We start from the raw sequence: 14,325 nt of genomic DNA on the forward strand, positions 1-14,325 counted from the left end.
TTTCTCATGACCCCAAGTCATTAAGTTCTAAATATGAAAAGGCAAGAAAATGTAATGTTTTACATATTACTTTAGTTAGATCTGAACCTACAATTGTCATTGGCAGTGCATATATTTTTCCATATTCTTAAGTACAAAGCTTTTTGAATGGGTATAAGGACCTTAATATTAACCTCATTAACTCTTCCTGATCTGTTGTAAAATACACTTTGTTTGGGCTGTTTTACTCTAAGATGTAATTATATAATTTTGAATGCCTTTAAATTATAAATGCAGAGCAAAGACCTTGTCATTTTATCAAGGACCATAGAAATTGTGGTATCTAAAAAGTCAAGGCCTAGAGAATAGGGACTTGCCCCAAATCATGTAATGGCCAAACACTGAGTTAGAACTAGGACCTGAATCCTGTCATCTACGTTATTATTTTTATTTTTTTGAGACAAGAGTCTCACTCTGTCACCCAGGCCGGAGTACAGCGGCATGATCATAGCTCACTGCAGCCTCAGACTCTGGACTCAAGTGATTCTCCCACCTCAGCCTCCTGAGTAGCTGGGACCACAGGTGTGTGCCACCACACCAGGCTAAGTTTTAAAAATTTTTGTAGAGATGGGGTCTCACTATATTGCCCAGGCTGGTCTTGAACTGAACTCAAGCAATCCTCCCACCTCGGCCTCTCAAAGTGTTGAGATTACAGGCGTGAGCCAACACACCCAGCCACTGCCTTTTATTCCATGCCAGTTCTTCAGAGCTGCACACATACATGCTCAATAAATTCCAGGTGAATTGAGTATCTTTGTATCAAAGTGACAGGCTTTATAAAACATCATTAGGATTTTACTGTTTGTAATTATTCAACAGACTAAATGGAATATGTGAGTACAACAGACTAAACATGAAAGGGCATCACAATGAACTGTATATACAGTGGGGTTGAGTATTACTGGAGTGGGGAGGACTTTAAGTTCTAAAGTCAGTATATAAGACTAAAAATCACATTGAAAAAATTACTTAAATTGCTCCCAAAGTATAATACAGAATATTTATTTTTTTAGCTGAATACAAGCCAACTAGTGGTTTGTATTTGTGGAACAGGTGCATGTTCCACAATGATAAACATAACAATATCTTTGGTTTTATTTTTTGAGACAGAGTCTCGCTCTGTCACCTGGCCAGGCTGGAGTGCAGTGGCATGATCTCGGCTCACTGCAACCTCTGCCTCCCAGGTTCAAGTGATTCTCCTGCCTCAGCCTCCCGAGTAGCTGGGACTACAGGCGCGTGCTACCATGCCCATTTAATTTTTGTATTTTTAGTAGAGACGGGATTTTGCCATGTTGCCCAGGCTGGTCTCGAACTCTTGACCTCAGGTGATCCACCCGCCTCGGCCTCCCAAAGTGCTGGGATTACAGGTATGAGCCACAATATCTTTAAACAGCAGAATCATTCAGCAAAGACAGAGGCTCACCCAATGGAATGCATGTGGAAGAGAGATCTGCCTAAGCAAAGGGCAGATTATTATATTTCCCACTTATGCTCCCTCCCCAGACTAAATACCCATTGAGTGTAGAGGCAGGTGGGAGTTCCTGAGTTCACTATTTTGTGTGTGTGTGTGTGTGTGTGTGTGTGTGTATGTGTGTGGAAAGTTACATGTGCTTGATGCAACTCCACTGTAGGTCAAATAGCCACATGGTACTTGCGTCTAACTCCCAAGCTTGCATGGTAGATTCCTGAGGCTACTGCTGGAGAAACTGACATCTCTCACATTCCAGTACTTAGACATCTTTCCCTTAATAAGGCTCCCAGAGCTACTTTTACCATTCTCTAAGAAATCAGGGGGATTTAAACCTACTAAGGCTTTTGAAGATTTGGGAAAGTTGGGGGGAAAAAATAAACTATGAATTTTAGAGTTTAAAAGGTGTTATCACATAAATTCTCCCTTTTAACCCTCACTATAATTCTCCAAAGGGTTTCCTTAAAAAAGAGCTAAGTAACTTGCCCAAAGCCAATAGCAGCTAATTAGAATTAGGTCTAAAATGGGTTACTATCTATAAATGAATTTTTCTTCAGAAAGATGTATTATCTCAGAAAATAAAATAACTCCTCTAGATGTCAGCAGCCAAATTTTGGATTATGGTTTTTGTCTTTTTTTTTTTTTTTTTTTTTTGAGACAGAGTCTCGCTCCAGGCTGGAGTGCAGTGGCGCGATCTTGGCTCACTGCAAGCTCCGCCTCCCGCGTTCACGCCATTCTCCTGCCTCAGCCTCTCCGAGTAGCTGGGACTACAGGCACCCTCCACCATGCCCGGCTAATTTTTTGTATTTTCAGTAGAGACGGGGTTTCACCGTGGTCTCGATCTCCCGATCTCGTGATCCGCCTGCCTCGGCCTCCCAAAGTGCTGGGATTACAAGCGTGAGCCACCGCGCCTGGCCGGATTATGGGTTTTTAAAAATTAAATTAAATTAAAATTTTTTTTGAGATGGAGTTTCACTCTTGTTGCCCAGGCTAGAGTGCAATGGCACGATCTTGGCTCACTGCAACCTCTGCCTCCTGGGTTCAAGCGATTCTCCTGCCCCAGCCTCCTGAGTAGCTAGGATTACATGCATGTGCCACCACACCCAGCTAATTGTTTTGTATTTTTAGTAGAGATGAGGTTTCTCCATGTTGGTCAGGCTGGTCTGGAACTCCCGACCTCAAGTGATCCGCCCACCTCAGCCTCCCAAAGTGCTGGGATTACAGGCATGAGCCACCACGCCCAGCCAGGATTATGGTTTTTTTTTTTAAATCAGATTTCCTCTAATTTCAGTTTACATGGTCTAAGATAAAAATGGTTCTGCAATACCTGAGTATGCCACTCATGGGAATAACAGAAGGCAGCCTAAAGATCATGCTGGAGTGGGGCTGGAGAGGATAAAAGGTTTGGGATTACAATTTCCCATGTGTTGTTTTTACAGAAGTTCCCTTCAAAGACCAGAGCTACAACTACTGCCATTTGCTGGTTGGAAAGAAAACCATTCATATGATAACTGATGCTTATATCAGGAAGTGGTGGTTTCTTAAGTTTTAATTAAAATCACCACAGTTGAACCCTGAAATTTGTATTCTAAACCAAATCTCCATGGATTCTCATGCAGCCAGTTCATACACTGGAGAACTGTTATAAGGCTATGACAGATAAGAGGTATTATTTTTCTCCATCACTAAAAATAAGGCAATTTAATTAGGCAAATGACCAGTTGTAATCCCAGACTACTATATAGAGTTGAAGCTACTTAAAAAAACAAAAACCCAATATACCAGGCGGTGAAACAATTTTATTTCACAGTTGTCTTTAAAACCACAAAGACACCTATGTTCTTCATATAAAAACATTAGTATAGATACCCATACTTTCTAGAAAATGATTATACAGACCCTTTCAAAGAAAAATGTATTCCATTATATAGGTTTCAGTGAGGTTGCTTGGAAAAAACTCACATCTGGACTGATTCCTAAAACATAGCATTCCACCACTCTGCAACTTTTGGTTCAAAGTATAGATTATTGTCATCAGTATGTGGTGCCTGTATTCTTACATATTTGATAATACATATATAGACTGGCTTATCACTTAATGTTCCATTGGTTCATCAGCCTTTTCTGCAGGTTCATCAGCAGGTTGAGCAGGCTTAACAGGGAAAGAAAAAAAGAAAATATGTAAAATGAACACTTGATCAATATACACATCTAATCACAAATATTACGTTATTAAAAATTGAGAAAAAGGGGTAAAGAGATATTCTGAATACTCAGTTTTAGTTCACTGTCCTGTTAACATTTCTGAGCAGTATTTTTTTTCTCCTTGAGTGCTCATGATTTGAGGGAATAAAGATTTTTTATTTAAAAAAAATACAGTTGGCTCGAACAACAAAGGTTTAAACAGTGAGGGTCCACTTATATGCAGATTTCTTTTTCTTTTTCTTTTTCTTTTTTGTTTGCTTTTACTCTAACATTGTTTAGGGTGAAGCTTTTTTTTGTTTGTTTGTTTTCCAATAAATATAAACTAGCAGACCAACTGTGTAGCCTAGAAATATAAAAAAAAAGAGTAAGAAAAAGTTAGGTATGCCGAATGCATAAAATATATGTAGAAAATAGTCTATTTGGTCGGGTGCAGCAGTTCACACCTGTAATCCCAACACTCTGGGAGGCTGAGGCATGAGGATTGCTTAAGCCCAGGAGTTTGAAACTGGCCTGGGCAACACAGTGAGATCCCATCTCTACTAAAAAGAAAAAAAATGTGCTGGGCATGGTGGCACACACCTGTAGTTTCAGCTACTTGGTGGCGCGGGGGAAGGTAGGAGAATCGCTTGAGCCCAGGAGTTCAACCTTGCAGTGAGCTATGATGGCACCACTGCACGCCAGCCTGGACAAGAGGGCAAGACCTTGTCTCAAAAAACAACAAAAAAGAAACTAGTCTATTTATGTGTTAATTGTCAGTTTATGTTATCAGTAAGGCTTCCAGTCAACAGCAGGCTATCAGAAGATTTTTAGGAGTCAAAAGTTATATGTGGATTTTCAACCATGCTGGGGTTTGGCACCACTAAACCCCACACTGTTCGAGGATAACTGTATATATAATTTCACATTTCTGAAAACCTAAATATCATTGAACAATTCCACCATTTTATCGTACTTTGCATTGCTCAGGAATAAAAGCTTTCCTTGTATTATCACTACTATGTTTAAAATACAATCAGCACTTTTTAGACATTCTTTTCCCCTTTGCCAAACTAGTTTGTGGTATTCCACAGCATTCTTCCCAACAGTGCTAGTTTTTACCAAAAACAGTTTAAATATTGCAAATCTTGATCCCCCAAATAGTACCAACAATATCCTTTCCAAGTTAAAAAAACTCATGCTGTAGAAATTTCCATACTAGATTCTTTTTTACTTTCAATTACACTGCTATCAAATAAGCATCTATAAATAGCAAATGTATATTCTAAACATCTAGCAAAAAGACCCATATTTCACCTGAGATTCACTTCTTGATGCTTTTCTCTTTATGAAGAGCCATCTTAGTGTCCAAAGCTGGCCCCCAATGAGCATTTCTCCCAGTCTCTGCTCAAACAGAATCTGGGCCAGGCCAGTGACTCACTTTAACCAACAGAATGTGTACAAGTGATGTTGTGCCAGTCCTGCATCTCAGCCTTAAGAATGCCTGGCGGCTTTCACTTCTGACTTTTGCAAGCCCTGAGTTGCCAATATGCTAGAGAGACCCTGCTGAAGAAGCGGCCCTGAAACTACGTGGACAGAGGCTCAGTCATCCTAGCAGAGGTCTCTGCCTTCTAGATGCTCCTCTAAGACACCTAAAAGGTGTGAGTAAAGAAGACATGTGACTGAAGTTATCTTGGGTGTTCCAGTTGCACCCCACAAATGACTGCAATGTTTGAGAGATCCCAGGTGAGACCAGCAAAGAACCATGTAGGTGAGCCCCAGTCAGCCGCAAAATTGTGAGAAGTAGTGTTTGTTGTTCTAGCCCCTAAGTTTTGGGGTAGCTTATTACCTAGCAATAGATAACCAAATAATCAACACTTCTCCCTTTTTGTGTTTGTTTTTTTTTTTTGAGACAGAGTCTCTCTCTGTCGCCCAGGCTGGAGGGCAGTGGTAGGATCTCAGCTCACTGCAACCTCCGCCTCCCGGGTTCAAGCGATTCTCCTGCCTCACCTCCTGAGTAGCTGGGACTACAGGTGCATGCCATGACGCCCAGCTAATTTTTGTATTTTTAGTAGAGACGGGGTTTCACCATGTTGGCCAGGATGGTCTCCATCTGTTGACCTCGTGATTCACCCGCCTCGGCCTCCCAAAGTGCTGGGATTACAGGCATGAGCCACCGCACCCGGCCCCCTTTTTGTGTTTATGGAGATCACTGCCCTTTCAATATTTAACTTTACTCAGTTCTTAATTTTCCTGTTGCCATTTGAATTATGGGCCCATTTCAATATTTAAGACAAAATGGAAAATTTACAGACACAGTTGTGGTAAGAACAGCAGCTTACAATAGAACTAAAGCCTCTTGTGTTATGATTATATACCTGTGCCTTTCTCTGTGGTCTTTCTTCAAGACCTTCCAGGAATGGAGACACATCATCATCATCATAGATTGTAAACTCCAAGTCTTTACCAACAATTCCAATGGAAACATTCTGAAGGGTAAAATATGGTAAAAGTAAAATAAGAGAATTTGGATGAAAAAATACATACGATAAAATATTGGGTGAAAAAAGCAGAATAAGAATTTATATAGCATTTGAATAAAACCTTAAAAACCACTTATGTGTAGGAGAAAAAAGAAGGAAACTAGTGGACCCTTGTCATTTGCAGATTTAATATTAATACTAACTTTTGATTATCATGAGTAACTCCAAAGATCTATGTTATCTAGAAACATTTTTTTAAAAAGATAATGCAGGCTATAAAGTCTTCACATTGATATTAAACAATAATTATCCAATCACCATAACAAAATGGCTTTATAAAACTGACTAATCTCACTTTATTAATGATCATTAACTTCAAGTAGGCCTTAGTGGTTCCTGGATCCCACTATACCCATTTCTACATCATTCATGCTCCCCTTCTTTTAGACACTTCTAACATTCTCCAAGCTCTTTGAAGCTGAAAACCTTGTTCCTATATTACTGCGAAAACAGAAGCAATTAGAAGAGAACTTTCACAAGTTCCCACTGTATCCACTCTTTCCTGTACCTATGTCCCTAGATTCTCTCCTTTCCCATTAAAACTTCCTAAGGCCAACCCTTCCACCTATGTACTATTAAAGGACATTGTTCTAACAATTTTCTCATTATTTTTCCTCATAAATGCTTCCCTAAATTTACTTGGATTACTCTCACAATCATGCAGCAAATGTGATGTAATTTCTTCCATCTTAAAAAACAAAACAATTTATTTCTCTCCTCTTCCAGTCACCACTCCATCTCAAAAAAAAAAAAAAAACCCAGATTGTAGGGGTAAATAGATAGTGGGGCTATGGGTAGAAATAGTTTTAAGGCTATTCAGGTAATTCATGTGAGAGATGATAGCGATTGGAGCAGAGTGACAGAGTGACCGTCAACAGAAATATCCTCCAAAAAGCTATCTGCAATTCCTCGTCTCCCATTCTCTCCTGATTCCACTATCAGGTTTTTGCCTTATTATTCCATTAAGCCTGTTTTGTCAGGTCCTCAGTGACAACTTCATTGCCCCTCCTCCTTGAAAGTTTATTCGTTTGCCTCCAAAGATGCCTCATTTTCCAAGTTTTCCTCCTACTTCTTTGACCACCTCTCTCAGTCTTTTTTGCCAACACCTAACTCATCTCCCAGTTGCTAAAGGTTAGTGTTCTTGGTCCAGTCCTCACAATGCTTGTCTAACTATTCAATTCCTTTAGGAATCTCTTCCAGTCCAGACTCTAAATGCCATTTCTATATAAAGACTTCAAAAATTTGAAATGTAGGTTGGACCACTCTCCATGGAACTCCACGTGTTGCTTATAACTGCTTACTCTGTACCGTCAATTAGACAAAAAGGCATTTCAAATTTTACATGTCCGCAACTGACTGCCTGACCTTCCTCCCCAACGCCTACTCTAAAACCTGTTCCTCCCACTATCTTCTTCACCTCAGTAAATCATAAATCTTTCATTCCAATTAATTAGGCCCAAAACCTTGGAGACATTCCCCCCTCACACCCTATAACAAATCTATTAGCAAACTTTTTTGGCTGTAATTTCAAAAGATATCCAAAATTGAACCACTACTCTTCATCTTTAACTCTGTCACTCTGCTGCAATCACTATCATCTCTCACATAATTACCTGAATAGCCTTAAAACTATTTCTACCCATAGCCCCACTATCTATCTACCCCTACAATCTGTTTTTTTTTTTTTTGAGATGGAGTTTTGCTTTGTCACCCAGGCTGGAGTGCATGCACCGCCACGCCCGGCTGATTTTTGTATTTTTAATAGAGACAGGGTTTCATCGTGTTGGCCAGGCTGGTCTCGAACTCCTGATCTCAAGTGATCCACTCACCTCAGCCTCCCAAAGTGTTGGGATTACAGGCGTGAGCCACTGCGGCTGGCCCACAAACCGGTTGTTTTTTTTTTTTTTTTTTTGAGACGGAGTCTCGCTCTGTCGCCCAGGCTGGACAGGCTGGAGTGCAGTGGCGCAATCTCAGCTCACTGCAAGCTCCACCTCCCAGGTTCACGCCATTCTCCTGCCTCAGCCTCCCGAGTAGCTGGGACTACAGGCGCCTGCCACCAAGCCCGGCTAATTTTTTGTATTTTTAGTAGAGATGGGGTTTCACCGTGTTAGCCAGGATAGTCTTGATCTCCTGACCTCGTGATCCACCTGCCTTGGTCTCCCAAAGTGCTGGGATTACAGGCGTGAGCCACCGCGCCCAGCCTCAATCTGTCGTTAAAATGCCAAACAGAGTGACTGTTTTAAAACCTAAACCAAATCATGGTATTCCTCTGCTCAAACTCTTAACAGCCCACCCAGAGTAAAATGCAGAGTAACCACAATGGCTTATGGGACCTCCATTACCTCTCTGATTTCTTCCCTTTTCCTCTTCCTCTCGATGATTGACCTCAACACTACTGGCCTCCTTGCCTTAAATACTAGGGCCTTTGCATTTGTATTTCCTAGAATAATTTTGCTCTAGATCTGCATAGCTCATACTCACTTACCTCCTTTATATCTTTTCCTCAAATTTCATTTTCTTGGTGAGAATATCCTCAACCACCTATTTTAAATTACACCTACCTACATCCAATTGGTCATTCTTTCTCCTTTTAACGCTTTTTTATTTTTTACATAGCATTTATCTTCTTCTAATATACTATATAATGTACTTATGTATATACTGTCTATCTTTCCCTACTAGGATGTACGTTCCATGAAGAAAAAGTTATTTGTTGTGTTTACTGTATTTTCAATGCTTAGAAAGTGCCTGCACATGGTAGGTGCTCAATATATATATATTTTTGTTAACTAAATAATACCAAGATATGCCAATCTGCTGAAAATAATGAAGGACATTTTGCATGAAATTTACTGGTTTTACTGCTTTGTACCAAAAAGAAATGTTTAAAAAATAAAATTGGATTACTTAGCAAATAGCTTAAAGGAAAAGAATCTGCCAAGACAATCATATCCCAAATTACAGAATGTTGCATATATACTCCATTACATTTATGCAATAAAGGTTTAAACTGTAACGTTAATATCTACAATTGGAAAAGACAATACTTACCTTTGTAGTCAGGTCCTGTTCTGCAGGAAGCGTCTCTCTTAAGGCACGCAGACCATGTTTAACTAGTTCATTTAAATTACCTATATGTAATAAATTAACAATTATTTCTTAATTTCATTGTTATGCTAGGCTTCTGTTATTTATCAAATCTACAGTCTCAAATTGTGGTTTTTAGTTACACACTAAATTTATCACAGTAAAAACAGCCAAGTTTAATGCTAGTCATATAATCTTTTAATAGCATTCTATGACATTGCTGATTCTTATTTTATTTAATGAGAGGACTCATGATTTTTGTTACGATTTTGATCTTCTCTTTTGCTAGGTCAAATCAAAATCCCGACTATAAATTATACAACTCCAAGTTTTGTAGAATGTGTTCTGTAGAATCCTAGTCCTTATATTTGCTCATTGTAAAAAGGAATCTCCAACTTATTCTATGTGGCCAGTATTACCGATAACAAGAATAAAAACATCACAAGAAAATAAAACTACAGACCCAATATAGATGCAAAAACAAAACAAAACAAAACAAAACCCTCAACAAAAACTACAAACGGAACCTGGCAACACATTAAAAAAATTATATACCATATACAAGTGAGATTTATCCCAAGAATAAGTTAGTTTAACAACTGAAAGTCAGTGTAATTTTCAGTTACACTGAAGGAAGGGAGAAAACCTGCATAACCACCCCAAGAGATGCATAAAAAGCACGTGATAAAACCTAAAATGTTTGCATAATAAAAACACAAAACAAACTAGTAATTGAAAGGAACCTCTTCAGTCTGATAGAGGGCATCTACAAAAAGCTGACAGGTAACATCAATCTTAGCAGTGAATGACTAAAACCTTTTCCCTTAAGTTTAGGAACAAAAAAAAGAAGGTTTGTTCATGCAACTTATATTCATCATTGTACCAGAGGTTCCAGCCACGGCAGTTAGAAAGGAGAAAGTAAAACTATCTCTATTCCCAGACAACATGATCTTAGGAATCTATAAAAAAATGACTAGAACTAATAAACAAGTTCAGCAAGATTGCAGGATATAAGATTGATATATAAAAATCAACTGTATTTCTATATAGTTGCAATGAATAATATGCAATGAAATTAAGAAAACAATTCTGTTCACAACAGCACCAAAAATAATAAAATACTTTAAGACAAATATGATTTGTACACTGAAAACTACAAAACATCAGTGAAAGAATTAAATACCTGGTTGGGTGTGGTGGCTCACGCCTGTAATCCCAGCACTTTGGGAGGCCCAGTTGGGCGGATCGCCTGAGGTCGGGAGTTTGAGACCAGCCTGACCAACATGGAGAAACCCCGTCTCTACTAAAAATACAAAATTAGCCAGGCGTGGTGGCGCATGCCTGCAATCCCAGCTACTCAGGAGGCTGAGGCAGGAGAATTGCTTGAACCTGGGAGGCAGAGGTTGCAATAAGCCGAGATCGCGCCATTGCACTCCAGCCTGGGCAAAAACAGTGAAACCCCGTCTCAGGAAAAAAAAAAAAAGAATTAAATACCTAAATAAATGAAGATATTCCATGTTCATGGATCAGATGCTTTGTATCATCAAAGTAGCAGTACTCCCCAAAATTATCTATAGATTTATTGCAATCTTTAGGAATTTCCTATCCAGGTTGAAATGTGCTAGGCAGAGGGTGCTGATATGAGCAGTTCTGAACCAAACTTTGGACACTGAGTTTCTAATGAGCTTCTCTGGGCAGAAACATCACATACATATTGCTGCAAGTGTACTCTGTGACTCCTTATGGGAAGGAAAGAGCATAAGGAAGCCTGCACATAGATTCCTCTGGACTGTATTTTTCCTTAATGATCCACCTATGTACTGTTATTTTATTGTTAAAAGTCTTACCTGGGAGTACAACTATATGCTGTGCGCTTTAAGTCCTAGCATATCTCCAAATTTAGGGGTAACCTTGGGGACCCCAAACCATTTACCATAATTTACAATGTTAAACTTTAAGCCAGCATTTACCAAGCTTATTTGTCCAAGGAATCCTCTTTTCCCAAAGTTAAACCTATTGTCATCCCACAAGTTTGCTTTGAGTAATGTCAATTAAACTATTTTTCTCTGCATTCACTAAACCCCAAATATTTCCTCCAAAGAATGCTTTGTCACCAGAAAACAGATAAGATGACAAAGAGAAATGTAAAACCCGATACCCTCCTTCCAATGCAAAGCAAAGCACTTGAAAACCTGTCCTGTCATAACATCTTACCTCTTTTACCTTCTTCTCCCTCAACTACACTGCCTTTTTATTTCTTGTTTATGGACTACTAATGCAGAAATGTCTGTGTGGCTTAAAATAACAAAAGACTCACAGAAAACTAAAAGTGAACAGAGCTTACAACTGGCAGGTAGTACAGTGGTTCTCCACTCTCCACTCCACAGGGCACACTTCTGACCAAATGAATCAAGAATTTTCAAGGTTGGGAACACATTTATATTTTGAAAAAGTTCTACTCGTGCTTGAAACTACTGTGGTAACCAGAAGTTAAGATTAGTATATGTGACAGAAACAATAAACTCTTCATGGGCATAATTTTTTTTAAAAAAATTCTTTCTATAAGACTTACAGTTTTATGCATTTAGGATACTATGTTTATTTACTATATAGACTGGAAAAGGCAAAAAAAAAAAAAAAAAAAAGCAAGGCTGTCACTTACACTCCATAAATTCAGACATATGTCTCTCCAAGTAAGTACGAGCTGATTGGGAACGGGCTCCAATGGACATGGCTCTGCAGTCAAAATAGTTAGCAGATGGACAGGTTTGGAAAATGTGAGGGCCCATATCCTACAAATAGAAATAAATACACCACATAATTATTTACTTTGGTTGAACTAAAAATTATAAAAATTTCTAGTTAATTAAAAAAAATCATTAACATATAACAATATTCAATGAACTTACATCATAACCAGCAATAAGGAGACCAACACCATATGGTCTCCGGCCATATCGTTGTGTTGGTATCTGGGTCTCTTAGACTGGTTAACGAGCTTGTTTTAACAAGGAATGAAGTACTGTCTTTATTTTCAAATTATACATTATTAACAAAGGTCTCTGGCTTATTCTTTAATTGTTGCATAATCCACCAGAGAAATAATGCAATAGGACACTATTTCTTTGGCCTAATATAAAATGTTTGACTTTCTACCGAACCTAAGAAAGAGTGCCAGCAAAATAATTTCTTCCCATCTAAAACCTGATTTGTTTTGGATACAAGGGGTCTAGGATTTCTTGGGACATCTAGAACCATTAAGAAACTTTAAATCCCCTCTAAAAAGATGCTTAGATGATTTTCCTGAAGTTGGGCTTATTTGTGTCTAGCAAATATAAATTGCTTATAAAGGCTAATGAAAGAGCAATCCAATTTGTTGTTTTAAAGTTTTCACAATCTTACCTATGTCATATTATTATTATATTCCTAATAATTAACACAAGTATCAAAACCCTTCAAAGTTCATATCCATAAATGCTAACATAAAAAGGATACTGCTTCCAATTAGAGATACAAGACGAGACACAGGCAGTGGTCTATCGAATACAAATCTGGAATCCAAACACTCCTGACGCATAAAATTACTAAAAAAGAAACAAAAAAAGTTTAGTAATTTCAAATTATAGACAACTATTCCAATCTAAATTGTTTGATTTCACTTCAAATTCTTCCAAGCGTTTACATGGATAACATCCATATAAGAAAAACAGAAGGTAAGAAAGACATGCCTGCAAGGGTGCGTTTTTGTGCTAAACTCTGGAGCCACATAAGGTTTTTAAAAAAGACTGAAACATTTTTTAGCTCTAGAAAATCTTTGTATCAGAGCACTTATGGAACAGAGAAGAGAAGGCTGAACAAAAGAAAAACAGCAACCTCTCTTCTCTTATCCTTCCCACTGTCAGCAAGCTTGTCGTAATTCTAGATCTCGAACCAGCAAAAAGATTATCTACTCTGTCCTTTTTTCTTGAAAGCAGACTAACATTTCTCCAAAAGAGCAAATATAAGAAATGGAAAACACAGCAGGGGGGATCTTTACGTGTTTCTGCCACTGTTACTTCTATTCATAAGAAGCACTCTAGAGGAGATACTGGACACTAGCCGCTGAGTCTCACTGTTAAATCTGATGAAATTCAAGCAAGGTTAACATTGGGGAGAAGAGAATTTATGCCTATAAATAAGATAAACAAGAAATGGATATGCTCCTTTTTCTCAATGTTGCTTTGTCCAGTATATGCGTATGTCACATCTGATCATCACATGGTTGACTACAGGAACCAAGCTATTTGTTCAGTACTTATATTTAAGTCCATTTCCCAATGCTGCCTAAAAGTATACTGCCCAATATGGCAGGCAATAATCACATGTGGCTATGGAGCTCTTGAAAAGTAGCTAGACTGAATTGAGATGTACACCAAGTACAAAATAACATACCAAATTTCAAAGACTTAGTACCTAAAAACGTGCAATAACTCATTAATAAAGTTTTTATATTGATTATGTGTTGGCATGGCAATATTTTATAGATTGGGTTAAATAAAATGTTTGATAATATAATACATTTTCCATTTTGAAGAGTAGGTGGAAACCCTTAAGGCTGTCATTATATTGCTGACTTAGAGCAAGGGACTGGCTGAGTAAATTGAAATTCTTTTTTTTTTTTTTTAATACTGAGTTTCGCTCTTGTTGCCCAGGCTGGAGTGCAATGGCATGATCTCAGCTCACTGCAACCTCTGCCTCCTGGGTTCAAGCGATTCTCTTGCCTCAGCCTCCCAAGTAGCTGGGATTACAGGTGCCTGCCACCACGTTCAGCTAATTTTTTTATTTTTAGTAGAGACAGGGTTTCACCATGTTGGCCAGGCTGGTCTTGAACTCCGGACCTCAGGTGATCCACCCGCTTCAGCCTCCCAGAGTGCTGGGATTACAGGCATGAGACACCATGCTCAGCCTGAAATTCTTAAACCATAGCATTACTATTTACACTGTTTTTGCTGCTGCTGTTGTTTTAAG

General features: G+C 38.5%; 1 protein-coding gene across 3 annotated transcripts in view; it reads right to left on the reverse strand.

Moving 5' to 3' along the window:
• Positions 1-3,286: 3,286 nt before the first annotated feature.
• The window catches only part of PSMA1 (proteasome 20S subunit alpha 1), a 138,787-nt gene continuing 127,748 nt past the window's right edge, over positions 3,287-14,325 (reverse strand). For 2 of the 3 annotated variants that reach the window (NM_148976.3, NM_002786.4), the window contains 6 exons: positions 12,814-12,902; positions 12,228-12,298; positions 11,981-12,110; positions 9,283-9,362; positions 6,067-6,177; positions 3,287-3,659 (listed from right to left, as the gene is read on the reverse strand). In NM_148976.3, the coding sequence (NP_683877.1) occupies positions 3,603-3,659; positions 6,067-6,177; positions 9,283-9,362; positions 11,981-12,110; positions 12,228-12,298; positions 12,814-12,902 (538 nt within the window). In that variant the 3' untranslated portion in view covers positions 3,287-3,602. Of the gene's footprint in view, positions 3,660-6,066; positions 6,178-9,282; positions 9,363-11,980; positions 12,111-12,227; positions 12,299-12,320; positions 12,903-14,325 lie in introns of those variants that run through there. The other variant, NM_001143937.2, reaches the window with a different exon arrangement.

The sequence above is a fragment of the Homo sapiens genome, chromosome 11, assembly GCF_000001405.40.
Source record: "Homo sapiens chromosome 11, GRCh38.p14 Primary Assembly".
Taxonomy (NCBI): domain Eukaryota; kingdom Metazoa; phylum Chordata; class Mammalia; order Primates; family Hominidae; genus Homo; species Homo sapiens.